This window comes from Homo sapiens, chromosome 6 (genome assembly GCF_000001405.40).
Source record: "Homo sapiens chromosome 6, GRCh38.p14 Primary Assembly".
Lineage (NCBI taxonomy): Eukaryota > Metazoa > Chordata > Mammalia > Primates > Hominidae > Homo > Homo sapiens.
The window spans coordinates 112,848,519-112,864,086 of NC_000006.12; the positions used below are offsets into that span (position 1 = coordinate 112,848,519).

The window sequence follows — 15,568 nt, forward strand, 5'->3', positions numbered from 1 at the left end:
GTCTGCATTCTATCCTGGGATCTCCTGTATTCCTGGTTGATTTTTTTTTAAATTCATCTATTAAGCTTTATTCTTAGTCCTTGAAGTCCTATGGATTTTGAGAAAAGGAGGGGTCAAACAGTATCATTTTGATTCATTCCTTAGTCATAAAAACATCTTCAGTTCTTCAACTCATCTTAGTCAACATTCTCCCTTCCCAAAGGCGCTGGTGCCATTGATAGATTTTCATCTCTATGGTTTTCCCTTTTCCAGAGTATCATTTCAATGCAATCATATGGTATGCAGCCTCACAGGACTGATTTTTTTTTCACTTGGGAATATGTACTTACGATTCATCCATGTTGTTGTATGGATTAATTAATAGCTTATTTGATTTGATCATGAAACAACATTCCAAAGTATAAATCTGTACTTTTTGTCCATTATCCTGCTGAAAGACATTTTGGCTATTTCTGTTTTTTGACATCTATCACTTTTTAACCAACCTTGAAAGTCACACAGCATCACTTAGGTTACATTAAATTCATTAGGAGCAAGTCACGAACATCAGCCCATATTCAAGTGGAGAGAAATTAAACCCAACCTTTTGTAGGATGAGCATCAAAGTGTTTGTGGTCATATCTTAAGACCACCTCAAAAGGATAAAGAAAAATATCCTGACTGTCTTCAGGGATTCTTCAACTCTCCAAACTCAGTTCATGAGTGTTGGAATAATTATCTATTGCTATGTAACAAATTATCACAAACTCTGCTTCTTAAAATACTATTCATTTATTATCTCACAGTTCTGTGGGTGGGACATCTGGAACAGGGTAGGTTCTTTGCTCAGGATATCACAAGGCTAAAATCAAGGTGTCGGTAGAACTAAGTTTTTGTTTGAAGGCCATAGGGGAGAATCCCCTTCCAAACTCATTTAAATTTTTTGTTTGTTTGTTTTGTTGTTTGTTTTTTTCCAAGCTAGATTTGTTTATTTGTGCTTATAAGACTGAGGTCCCTGTTTTCTTATTGGCTGTCAGCTGTCAGCAGGGGATAGCTCTCAGCCCCTAGAGGATGCCCCTCCTCACTGGCCCTTCACAATGTAGCTGTTTGCTTTTTCCTAGGTCAGCAGGAACACGTGTCTCTGACTTCTTGCTCTGCTTCTTTCGTATCTGAAATCAAAATCTAGATGTAAGGGGCTCATGATGAAGCCAAGTCCACCCAGATAATTTCCCTTTCTTAATGTCAGTTGTGCCATATAACATAATCTAATCGCAGAACTGACAGCCATCACCCTCATTGTACTGGGGATTATTCAAAGTCTATACACCAGGACCTGAGGATCTTGGGGGTCATCTTAGAATAATATCTACCACAATCATGGATTATACTTAAAGTAAATGGCATACCTTTGACCAGCTATTGGAATGTCACAAAGGAGAATTTATTTGCATATGCTTTCTTGAGTGGCAGAGTAGAAATCTCATTGAAGTAGATATTGAAGTATGTATTTACTGAAGTATGTATGGGGCATTATGCACACAATAATAATGTAAAAAAGTATTGGTTTTTAACTTTTAGGTTCAATTCACAGATGAATTATGAAGTTTTGTCATAATAATGGAGTAGAATTTAAATGTCATCAATCTTGACAATACAAAAGTCAAACTATGGCTCATGCAAGTTGGTGCGTGGAAGAAGTATGAGAAGTAAAGAAATGATTATGGGTATTGATATACTTATCTAGCAATAAAGGGATGGTATATACTGTCTAAAATTGAAAAACAAACAAAAACTTAAAAAAACAGAAGTTTAAATGAGAGGTTAGCAAAATTTTTCCTTTAGAAGGCCAGATAGTAAATACTGTAGGCTTCGCAAGTGATACGGTTTCTGTTGCAACTACTCAGGCCAGGCATTGTGGTATGAAATTATCCATACAGAACCCTAAACAGATGGATAAGGCAGTGTTTCAATAAAACTCTATTTACAAGAACTGGCAGCAAGCTGGATTTTGCCTACAGGCCATGGTTTGTCAATCCTTGGTTTAAAGAATATTCTTTAAAGACATAAAAAGTAAAGTAGTGCTGTAACTTTATTAAGAAGAGGTGAGGATGAAGCAGATTTTTAAGTAAGCTAAATCTTTACAGCCACAGCATAATAAGCAATAAATGATGGCTAAAGTTAAAACATCAAGAAGTGGTACTATGAACAATCATTTAGAGAAAATTGAGGCAATTAATTTAAACACTGAAATCACAGATTATTGCTTCCAGGGAGTGTGTTTGCAGTGGGGAGAGATGGGGTAGGAACTACTGCTTGTAAGCATAAACTACTTTGTACTATGAGAACTTAAATATTTACATATTACCTTGATGACAATTTTAAAGAATAAACTATTGAATAAAACAAATTTGTAGACAGAGCCTCCATTTACTAAATTGATTGACCCATTATCGGTTTTGATTACTATTATTATTAAAATCTAATTATTCCGAAGAATATATTATTTCTTATTATTTATAAGGCTACAGCAAGAGTTTTTATAAATTCCACGGTAAAATTTAGAGATTGTATGTAACTATATTGATAGAATTTCCTTGATGACCAGATTTTGCCTTATTTTTTTATAAAAGACTAGTAGACAATGATATGACATTAGTAAATTTATGCAGTTTTCTAAGAACTAAACAACCATTCTGTGAATACAACTTTGCAGGAAAAAAACAGTATTTATTTCAATTTTATGGTGAAAATTTCTGTTTGTCCATTATTAAGATTTATGGTGATTTTCCTGTTCTGTATGTTCTTTAGATATTCTTGGCAGTGGTTCAGCTATCTCATATGTGAATCTCCTTAAGACTACAGTAATTTTCCATGACACCATTTGTTCTAGTCAGAGATAACGTTTTAGCCCAACAGCCTGTACTTTATAATATTCTTATCTTTAAGGACTTCCATTCCACATTACTAATGCTTATTTTCTATTTTTTAATGCAAATGCTATTTTTCTTTATATAAGAAGTGAAATACAAATGAGACAAGTAGTTTCATTTTTCCTTTGGTATTTGTTATTATGATTCGCTGTAGGCAACAAATCAATATTGTATTTGTTGCACATCCAAACATATGAAACATGAATTCCACAAAACTTTTTATTGAGTTATAGGGTACCCCACTGATTTGTAATCAAAAGAAAATGCCAGTGTGTTTTCTGAGCATTGCATTATTTTCATAAAATTATAGGCAATGTGTTACTATCCATTGGAGAGTATTTTATTAAAAACTATTAATAATAAAATCAGCACATCATCAAATTAACAATTTTTATGGGTACTATTAATTTGGTTAACTCTCAGATTGTTCTTTCTATGACCATATGATTATGAGAAATGAAAACATAATAAAAATACTCATGGAAATTAGAAAACTGGTTCAAATTAACCTATTACAGTTTTGTTTTTACAAGTGTTTTCACTATTTAAAGAAATATAATATGTCACTTATTTTGAGCAAACTCAAACAAATGTTAATCTTAAAATGAAAAATGAAAAAGCACTCTCTCTTAAGATTATCAGTCTAAACTATACCTAAGTGTAGCAACCAGAAAATTTCCTAATTATTTGACTTGAAGTGTCTAGTAATATTTATAACAATATTTGTAATAAAACTAACATATATGTCCTACTTACCACTTGTCAGGAACTATACTAAGTGCTTTATATATACAGCATTTCCTTTAATTCTCTCAACACTCTACAAATATGTGTTATCCCCTTTTAAATACAGCAGAAAACTTGGGTCTGAGGTATTAAACATTGTGCCTTGCAGGATAAACATTTGAACAAAAGTTAAGCTCAGCAGAGGCTGAATTTGAATTAAGAAATTTAAATTCAGTTCTCACTTCATAAATTTTTCTGTGAATAAAGAGATAGAGGAACAGAGAGGAAAGATAAAACCCTGAAATATGTTCATACCCAAAAAAGGGGAAGGAGGGAAAGTAGGCAACCTGTAAAGCTTTAGATAAAAAAAAAAAGAGATGCCCGTTAGAGTTTCATCAGCTGAAAGTATAAATGCCCTAAGTTGGGAAAATATTTCTGTTCTTTTAACTGATATTATTTGACTATCATGAAAGGAGAACCAGGAGAAATTTGGAAAGAGGAATTTGAAGCCGTGTTCTTTTAAAGAGTTAGAGATTAGAGACAAGACAGCAATGACAGTGATGAAAATGGTTGACAAGAAAGGGTTAGGTGAAACAAGAGAGACGTGCAGGATTGGAAGCGATAGCTTTATCATACACAGATGGTTCTGAATTGATAGGCATATAGGCTATCCTAGATACAGGATGAAATAATGACGGAACTCTTCCTGGTATGGGAGTGAAGGGGATGTGTTTAATTTGGAGCTTAAAAGCTATCAAAACCATATACATTGTAGAAAAAAAGTTGAAATCCTGAAAACCATTTAACCATGTTTTAAGATTTTGTCATATATTGTATCCATACCCTCCAACAAAGGTACACACACACACATGCTTCTAGATCTGCATTATTTCTCTCTGTGATAGCACCACCATGTACCCTGTTAACCTCATGTATGAACCTAGCGGTCATTTCATACTCGCTTTTCTATTCTACTCACATCTGTGCAATCAACAAGCCCTTTCAATTCAACCTTCTAAACATCTCTATTCTCCTGCTCTTGATAACTATAATGGCCTCAATGTAACTCACCCTGTGCATAATCTTTCCACTCCTACAACTCCCCAACCCATTCTCTGCACTGCCTCCCAGCTGATATTTTTAAAGCACGCATACCCACTTACACACAGTGATTATAAGGTATCTATGTTCACAGCTCTGCAAGAATTACTTATGTCAGTGGGAGCAGTCGTTTGAAATGCAAGGTTGTTCAAACATCATTTCCAGCCTCAATGCATACCACCACCACCCTTTGCCCCCAGCAAAATTGAGCTAACTTTATTTGCTTAAACATGTCTTGCTCCCTCCTACCTTTACACTGGCTGCTCCATTTGCTTAGAATATTCCTTCTCACCTATGCATGGACTAGTCCACTTGGAAACCTTCTGAAAGTTATAATCACTTCTCCAGTCTTAAAACTTTGACTCCAAGGCAGGCTTATATGCTTGTCCTCCATGCTGTCTCCAAGTGCTCTGGACATGTCTTTACTCCTGCAGTTATACTGGGCTATAATTTGTTTTCTTATGTGTCTCCTTTTCCTACTTACACCTTAATCTTAAAAGTTGGACTAGCTCTTTAAATTTTATAATTCCTATGTCTAGTATAGTTCCTGGGACACAATAGTTTTATAAACAGTTGTGAATAATAGACGAATTAAAGTAGTTTATTTTTAATTAAAATTTCTTTCCTCTAGTGAAGACCTCCAGCTATTACACTAAGTTCATGACACTTTTTTGTTTGTACATATATGGAGGAATATTAGACTGTTTTCTATTTCAAATTTATTTGAAAATATTTGTAATCAAAATGATTGGATTTACTTTCATCCAGAACTTGAAATAAAACACGCTTTGCAAAATAATTTTTTATCTTTCTTCTCACAATCACATAAAATCCTATAGAGAAATATAAACAGAATCTGTACTTGATGTTAATTCTGTGAGATTGGAATTAACAGGCAGTGCTGAAAGGATGATTCTTCATAGCACAGGCATCTTTTCTAAAGTAAAAGTATTTGGGGCTACAAAGAACTCATGTCCTCATGCTGCCTACAACAATGTTTTAATATTGGAGGAAATATTTCCAGTACACCACCTTATTAATTTTTAAACAGAAGAAAATTTCTTTCAATACTTTATAACAAATCAATATCAGCTGATCTGTCAAGCTTATCATCATGTGAATAGTATAAGAATATATACCCTAAAGTAGTTTTAGTCTATACAGAGTATTGTTTTGCAATAGGAAAAACAAATTGCTACCAAAGGGTTTACAGAAACTGAAACAATCATGAAAAAATTTACTCAATTTAACAACTGTTCAATTCAACTACTGGTGACTGCACACTTATTAAATACTCAATTTTTTTAAAAAAAGAAAAGTATATGACACATCCATACTCTGGGTACTTATTTTGCAACTTAGAAAATTGAAGTGTAATACTAAATACATGAAGTAAATGAGACGAGGATATGAGGGCAGAATAGTTTAATTTTTAATATATTCTGTTAAAGTTTTCATACGTTAGATGATCCCTATCACCATGATTGTGTTTTGCGTCTGACACAACAGACAATGGAATTCTTGGTGGCCAAAGAGTGAAGATGAGTAGAGTTAGAGTGCTCCATTTCTCAAGGGAGCAGGGACCTCGCTTCTACCCAGAGAAATCTAGTGATAAATTTCTTTTTATTTTAATATAACTGGTTGAGCTGATTGGAGTGGGGAGGTGGAGGGAGCAGATGTTATGGTGGGAGGGGTCTGTGAAAGAGGGAAAAAAATAAATCCCTAAAAGCAGAAGATGAGTGGTTCCTAAAAATATATTGTTATTAAAATGTTTGTTTGAAATTTTTCCTCTTCCGCCTTCTAAAAGAAAACATAGAAAGGAACATAAGGTTAGAGTTTAAAATATGCATCCATATGAGCAATGCCTCTAAAGATATTTGTGTTACTGAGTTATAAATCATAGGAATCATCTGTGAACTGTATAAAAAGTGGAGTTTCCAAGGCAGGTTTGGAAGGGTTTTATAGAAAAAGCAAGGGACCTACCTTTAAGAAAATGGGTAGTCTAAAACTTACTCTACACATCATTCATAATCTAAAAATTTCAAAACACTAAAAGAATATTTGTCTGAGGGAGTCTAAATATGAAAACTAAACTCTTAATTATTAATTTAATTTGCATTTTGTTAGTAAGATGCTGTAGTGATAATAAATTTGCAATCCCTCTGTACATAACATTCATTGATTTATGAATGCCTCTATAATTATTTAAAGGTGTTTCTAATACAAAATAATTACAACATAATAAATGAAAATGTGGTACTTTTGAATCTAAATTTTGTATGTCAGAAAAACAATTACTTATCAATCATTTCACCTAGAATAAAATAAAGTTATGACTTTCTAAAATTAAATATGATGAGCCAGAAAAGCTTAATTTCACTTCATTCATGGATTTATCTCATATTCCTTAACGAAATGTAATATGAATTAATTTGCCATTTTGTCATTAAATCTAGGTGGCACTACCAGTTAATGTACTAAGTGAGAACCATTGTTGTTATTAACAATACTTGTAAAATAAAGTACTATAAATATAACAAAGCGGTTACTGGAGATATGCCAAAGCTGGCACTGCAGATCAATTGATCACCCTAACTTTTGTGGATTCAGGTTGTTCGCCGCAGTACCAGGACACTGCAGTCATCTCCCAACTGCCCACAAAATGAAAATAGCTGGCATGCATATGGAGATTTTTTAATTGCAAAGAAAGTCTGATAGTGGATCCTAGAATAACCACACTTCCTTTGTGCTCCCCCACTTCTGTCCAAATCTGAAAAAGACCTCCATATGCTTTAAATATTATAGCCTGACACATACACCTATGCAATGAAAACTTACTCTGAGCTTCCTTATCACCTCCCTCCAAGTAGATTACCTTATATCAGAAATTACATGGAACGCATGGAATGTCTTTGCAAAAATGTATCCCACAAACTTCACAGACAGGAAGAAGCCAATGTGAAATCTACTATTTAATTCTGGTGGCTTAAATTAGCTATTTATTCACTAAGCATTTTTTCTTTCAGTCCAGACAAATAGTGAAACTATATCTGCCAACCTCCCTTGCTATTAAGTGTGGTCATGTGGCCGAGTTTTGGCCAGAGAAATATAGCAGACATGGTATATACCCTGTAAAGCCTTCCTGTTATCATGTACTCTCTTTCTTCTCACATCTGACAGCTGGATGTTGATGGCCAGTACTGTTCTGGAGTCTCATGTTAACTTCTGTTAAAAAAAAAAAAAAAAACTAGTCTACAGTATGTAATCTAGTTAACAGATAAGGGCTATGAGGAGACTAAGGCTTATTATGGTCAAGTGTCCTGCACAATTAAACTAGAAGCTTCCAATTTTGTATAATAGTGAATTCCACTGCCCTATAATTATTCCTGTTTTACAGCTGGGAAAAACTGACAAGGTCACAGATGCCCCTTTCACCTTTTCTAATGATTGATATTAATGGCTTCTTCAAATTATGAGTATGTTCAAGACCATGTGCTTCTCTTCTTTGGAATTTGATGAGATTCGTTCATTCAACAAATTTTTTTGAATACCCATTATGTACCAAGTATTGTTCTAGATTCTTGGGAAACACAGTGAAAAAATACAGGTAAAGAATCTTGCCTTATAGAGTAAGTTTCTATGCTGTAAATACCTGATGTAGAGAGAATTGATTAATTACAGTGCAATTAATTAAGCAAACATTTTTAAGCCACTGGTAGTCTTGCATTTCTGCAGCACATTCAGGGAGGACCTTTGATGTTTAAAATAAACACTAGACGCTGTGAAAATATGAAATGCCAAGTCTAACCTCAAGAATGGTCTCCATGGACAGATAAGCCAGAGATGCACACAATTTCTATCAGACATCTTTAAGTACCACTTTACATCCTCTCAGCATGACCTCTTTCTGGACCTTCATCCACCTTTGATTGCCAATTGCCATGAAGTCGGCCAGCTTTGAATGGGCTCAGACTAATCTCTTATGGACAGAACCTGACAGTGCTTGGGTACTGTCCTCACTGCTCCCTTTCACCTCCCATCCTTGAGCTTTCCTGTTAGTGCTAAACTTCAAGCTGCAGAGAGAATGACTCAAATGCAATTGAGAAGAAAGAGGGCATTAGCACATCATAGAACAAACTTTTGACCAGTGGAAGACAGCAGCCAGCATATAATTATTTCTCGGTTCTGCACTCTGCACAGAGTCCTGAGATGCACCATTTATATGGGCTCTATGAGGATGATTCCTCAAGAAAAACCAATTAGTTGTACTTGATAACAAGCAGTACCCATGTCAGGAATTCACTCTCTTGAGTTTAATTTCTTCTCTTTCCCTATATCTTCCTCCCTTTTCTCCTTACCTCTGCTTCTTTATGATTATCTGATCTGGTTAACTATTAGCATACACAATTTTGCCCCCGTCTCTGCTTTCTAGGAACACTTATTACACATGGCAAAATGTGGCAGTGATCACAAGAGATTTGTGAATGATGTGATATGAGGGTATACAAAAATAGATCTGTTTCTCGGTGTGGTTTCTAGGTATGTCAGGAAAGTCAAGGAGAAGGTGGGTTTTTAGGATTTATTTTAAAATATTAATATATTCCTGACAGATGAAGAAGGATACAATTGGCATTCAAGTTTGAATAATGTTGCAAATGTGTGTGTGAAGGTAATTAATTGTGGGATGTGACCACAAACAGTAAACGGGGAGAAGGTTCTTTAGAAGAAAGTGGAAGTTAAGGCTAACATTGAAGATGGTGAATACTATAGACACACAATGCTAAAAATAACACACACTTCTTTCAGGTTACCATGTTTGATGCCAAGTCAATAGGAAGCCAGAGCCTCATGAAGGGGACAGAGAAAGAGACTGGACAGTGGTTGAGAAGCATCTTCTCAAATTGTATCTTGCATAAAATTTTTCTGTACAAAATTCTGGGTTCCGTCCTTTGAGATTGTGATTCAGGTCTGGAGAGGGGCCTTGGGTCTTCATTTCTACTAAATTTCTAGATGCTGCTGCTATATCTATTAGGCAACCACATTTTGAATAGCACTGGTTTAGAAAATGTCTGTCCTTTCTACATATCAGTCCTAGAGGTGGCTTGGAACTCTGTGTTTTTCAAATTGGAATATTCCCTCTTTAGCCATCCTTTAAGTGCTTTCTGAGTACATGTGCACTTTACATAAGTTAAGACATTTATTTAAAGCAATGTATACAGCATCTAATTTGTGCACAGCTCTATGGTTGATGCTGACAGAGAAACATTGCCAGCTAAGCCTGAGAGATTAACTTTTCTAATTATCTCAACACTAACCCACATTCTACAGAGGAGATTGGGTTTCTGCTGCAATAGGACACAGAAATGAAAATTTTAATGGGCTGGAAGCATCCAGAGGGACATGAAAAAGGAAGATTTAGAGAGATAAGATGTCAAACATGGTCTCATCTTCCTGTTGTAATTTTCCTGACTCTCTGCCACTGGGTATTATTTAGCCAAGGAGGTGATCAGTCTTTGAGTAGGTTTCAAATACAAAGAAGAAGCAGAATGTAGTGTATGTAATCTCAAATTTGCCCATTGATTTCACAGATTCCTAGGTCCGTTTCTGAGTGCCGCACTTCACTTCAGGAGGGAACAAGACAGAATAAAACAAGCATGTAATATGAGGTACCATGAAGAGAACTGGGATACTTATTGTGAAAAGTAGATTCATTGTGCTAATGGGTGTTGACTATGACAAATATTATTTTCTAAAAGGCTGCCATATGAGATACTAGAAGCTAGAAACAAAAGAAAAGAAGGGTAATGTATGGAAGTTAAAATGAAACAAACTGGATCAATCTTTATAAAATTTGTCCACAGGAAATGTGCTGCTTGGTGAGAAAGAAAGTTTGATCGTTACTGGAGCTGTTCAAGGTGAGTCAAGTTAGCTGACTTCTAGTTGGAAATACATTTTATAATGGTTTAGAAAATCCTTTGCCAATAATTCCAAGTTGATAGAAAAAAAATGACTTTTCTTTTTTGTAATTGCATATTTGCACAAATTCCAGAAGACCTGAATTCATAGGTGAAAATTTCATTTTGTTCATAGTACTAAAAACCATATAGATGAGTGATTTAAAACATAATATGGGAACAAAAAAGCCATCCTCTGGTCAGGGCACTGGGTCTGCATTAAACACAGCAGGGCCCTGGTGAACATTTAAAGCCCTCAGTGGGAAGTGATTATCTTTCTACTCTCTAGGTTTGCCTGAAATTACCCAGTCTTGTCCATGCTGAGTCCTGAGTGTTAAGGGAAATTAATTGATGGTTTAATAAGTGAGAAATGAAAAGAGAGTTATATTCTGCTGTGCTAAATTTTAAATAGAGTTTCATTTTCTTGTAGTGTCCATTAACTTATATTCACCTAGAATGCGAATTACTTAGGTTGTAATTTGAGACCTAATTAGAGTAAAACAATTTATCTTATTGCTGTTGAGAATTCTTTACCAGGTACTCTTAGCAGCATAAATTTTGAAAATGGTTAAACTAGGAAATTCTGGCAACCCATTTATTTATGTCTTAATGAGAGAAAGGAAAGAGAGAGAGAGAGAGAGGCAGAAAGGGAAAGAGAGAGAGAAGAAATAACACCACAAATTTTAACACATAGAAAGAGAACAGGGGGACACATAAAATATCAATCATAAAAGGTCTATGGAGTTCTTTTTAAAATGTCTCTTCCTAAGTTTTTCATGCACATGCTTAAGAGTCAGCACCATAAAAGCAAAAGCATAATGGATAGTAAAGTATGGGACTTGTTTCCCTTTAGTTATAAAGGGGATACATGTTGTATTTTCCTATGTCAGAAACTATTATTTAATTATTTTTTTAAAAAAATTTAATGGCCAGAATTAGAGTTTCTAGAGAAACTCAAAGACAATAGAAAAGACAAAAACAGGAACACTCAAGGAAATGTTAGCTTCTAGTATCTGCAGCTACAGGCAAGTAATAAATGTAGCCTAACTCCTAGCCAGATAAACCTAAATCCTCACACTTAGGTCTATTTAACTCAGTTTCTTTCACCCAATTCATCCTGTTCAAATTGCAAAAAAAAAATTACAACACATGCTGAAACACAAAAGACACATACGTTGAAGAGACACAGCGAGCGTCAGATCCAGATTCAGAAACAGCAGAGATTTGGGAACGATCAGACTGGAAATGTTAAATAAATATGACTAATATGCTAAGAACTCTAATGGAAAAAGTAGACAAAATGCAGGAGCAGATGAATGATATAAACAGAGAATTAAAAATTCTAAGAAAGTACAGAAATGAAATGCTAAACACTGAAAATCAAAAGGAGCAAAAGGAAACAAAACAAAACAAATGGTAACCAAAAACACTGAAAGAGAAAATAAGAGTTGTTTTGAGGGAGTCATCAGTAGTCCGGACACAGCTGATGAAAGAATCAGTGAGCCTGAAGATACGATGATGGAAACTTCTCAAATTGAAAGGCGAAGAAAAAAAAAATGAAAAAAAAAAAAAAAAGGAATAGAATATCCAAGAACTGTGGGATAATTACAAAAGAGAATACACAAAGAAAAAACAGACAAAGAAGCAGAATATTTGAGGTAATAATGGCTGAGAATTTCTGAAATTAATAACAGATATCAAATCACAGAAACAAGGAGCTCAGAGAACACTGAGAGAGGTAAATACCAAAAAATCTACACCTAGGCCTGTCGTTAGAAAATCAAAGACAAGGGCTGGGTGCGGTGGCTCATGCCTGTAATCCCAGCACTTTGGGAGGCCGATGCGGGTGGATCATGAGGTCAGGAGATGGAGACCATCCTGGCTAACACGGTGAAACCCCGTCTCTACTAAAAATACAAAAAATTAGCCGGGCGTGGTGGCGGGCGCCTGTAGTCCCAACTGCTGGGGAGGCTGAGGCAGGAGAATGGCGTGAACCCGGAGGCGGAGCTTGCAGTGAGCCGAGATTGTGCCACTGCACTCCAGCCTGGGTGACAGAGGAAGACTCTGTCTCAAAAAATAAAATAAAATAAAATAAAATAAAATAAAATAAAATAAAATAAAATAAAATAAAATAATATAAAATAAAATAAATAAAACAAAATAATATAATTTAAAAATTTTTAAAAATTAAAAAAATAAAAAAAAATCAAAGAGCAAATCTTGAAAGAAGCTGGAGAAAAGGAAAACCATACCTCTAACGGAATTTGCCTTCAGAAACCATACAATTAAGAAGAAAGCAGAGAGAAATATTTAACAGTTGAAAGAAAAAAAAAAGGCCACTAACCTAGAATTCTTTATCTAGTGAAATTATTCTTTAAAAGTAAAGGGCAAATACTTTCTTAGTCAAATAAAAATTCAGGAATTTTGTTGCCAGAAAGAAATGTTTAAAGATGCTCTTCAGAGAGGAGAAAGTGATATGGATCAGAAACTTGTATCTGCATAAAGAAAGGAATAATGTTAGGGAAGGAATAAACAAAGGTAAAATAAAATCATTAAAAAATGTGTACTGAGTGATTATTGCTTCTGGATAAGTGAAAGGAATGACAACAATATTATGAGGGAAAGAGGGATGAATTGAAGTGCTCTGTTTTAAAGTACCTGCGTCACCCATAAACTGTTCTTTGAAAGTGGACTTAGATTTTTTGGAAGTGTATATGGTAAATTCTAGGGCACTGAATAATTTTTTAAATGTATAGCTGATATGCTAAGAGAAAGGACAAAATGCAGTTATGTAAAATGTTCAATTAAAACCAGAGAAGGCAGAAAAGGACTGCAAGGCAAAAATGTTACAAAGAACAGATAACAAATAGAAAATAGTTGGGAATATGGTAGATATTAATCCAATTATATTATTAACCACTTCAAATGTGAGTGATCCAAATACTCCCATTAAAAGACAGATACTCTGACATTAAGTGTTCTTATCGCAATAATATGTAAATTTAAGAAGCTCAAGTATATGTTGTCTACAAGAAAATTGCTTTAAATGTAAAAATGAAGACAGATTAAAAGTGAACACATGGAAAAATATACCATATTAACACTAAAAGCCAGAATTGCAGAAAATATATATTCTATTTTTATACTGAAGGAGCTGAAGACACAATTTATACACTTTTGAACAACATAAAAGACTAGTGGTATATAAACCATTACAATCAGGTACAGTATTCCTCCCCTGATCCCTGTTTATTCCAGGGTATATGGTCCAAGACCCCCAGGGGATAACTGACATCTCATATAGTATGATACCAAACCCGATGGCCATCAGTCAGAACTAATTTCTGTTCAGATTTTCCATATGTTTAATTCCTTTTCCTTCCTAAGCATTGATCACGTCCTGTGGCCATAACTTTTGAAGTTTGAGGTAGGAGGTAAGCTAGCATGAATTTCTTTGTACTTCTTCACAATTTCATGAAGAGAAGATTCATTCTTACTGTAGATCTTAACAGCGTAAGTATATGATTTTTTTTTCTTTATTAAGTCGAGAGCTTTCACCTTTTCACTTAAAGGAGGCACTTTATGGCTTCTCTTTAGCACATCCAAATTGCCAGGATCATTACTCTTGCACTTTGGGCCCATTATTGAATGAAACAAGGGCTACTTGAGCACAAGACTGTGATACCAAGAGAGTGGATCAGATAATCTAGATGGCTACCAACTAACTAACAGGCAGCATCTACAGTGTGGATATACCGGACAAAGGGATGAGTCACGTGCCTGGTGGGAAGGAGAGGGACAGCACAGGATGGTGTGACATTTCATCACACTATGCAGAATGGCTTGCAATTTAAAACTGATGAGTTATTTCTGGAATTTTCCATTTAATATTTTTGGACCATGATTGCCCACAGGTAACTGAAATCACAAAAAGCAAAACCGCAGATAAGGGAAGACTACTGTAATTCCTTTCTTGGTGGTTCTAGGCCTCCACCTCCCAGAGATCACCATGCCCAGAGCCCTGGTTTCTTCTTCTCCAGAGGTCTTTATGATGCCCTGAGCAAGCTTCCATCATGGCCTGCATGTAAAGTTGCCCCTAGGCAACTTTTTGATCACTATGAGTTGATCATAATATAATAGGGACTAATAGGTAAAAAAGACGTGAGATCAATATTAAAGAAGATATTTCTCATGGTGACATCTGTCCAAAGATAAACTATTAAGCTACTTGTTGATTTTCTAAGTCTCTTGGTCTTGGAAGAGTCACATAGATTTTGAGACAGTTCATCAGGGGTGTCATATCAAATATTCAAATACTTGCCAGGGATGATTTGATTCATAGATTCGTAAGAACTTCTTAGTCCAACAGACAAAACACAAGTAGAACACTTGAAGTTAAACCTTTTCTGAAGATTTTTTCTTATAAAGTTTGTAGGTCTCTATGTCTACAATGACCTTATTTTTTCCAAAAAAGTCATCAGCAGTTTTTTAAATACAGGATAGAAATATTACTGCAGCCAGAGTGATATTTTTGAAATGCAAATTTGAATAGATCACCACATCCAGATTAAATATTTCAGACTATCCATTTCCTTCTATAATTAAAGAAAACAATCTTAGCAAAAGTTCGCTGTAGGGCCCTACCTATATTTCCAACTCTTGATCTCATGAAGCTTCTTAATATCTATGTTCCAACCATTCCTTACTACCTTTATTTTTGTATACATTATGCAGCTGCTTCTACCACAGGGCCTTTGCAATTGCTCCTACCACAGGGCTGCTGCCTAGAATACATTCTCCTACCATTTTTCTCTAGATTATTACTATTCCTTCTTCATATCTGAACCCAATTATCATTTACTCAAAGTTCTTCCTGAT

The 15,568-nt window shown here is 34.8% G+C and overlaps 1 annotated feature.

Moving 5' to 3' along the window:
- Nucleotides 10,694–11,195: an enhancer, noted in NCBI's record as "NANOG hESC enhancer chr6:113180414-113180915 (GRCh37/hg19 assembly coordinates)". NCBI's record gives its function as "activates a minimal SCP1, AML or CMV promoter by ChIP-STARR-seq in primed H9 embryonic stem cells {active_cell/tissue: H9 hESC(primed)}" and the evidence as "EXISTENCE:reporter gene assay evidence [ECO:0000049][PMID:30033119]".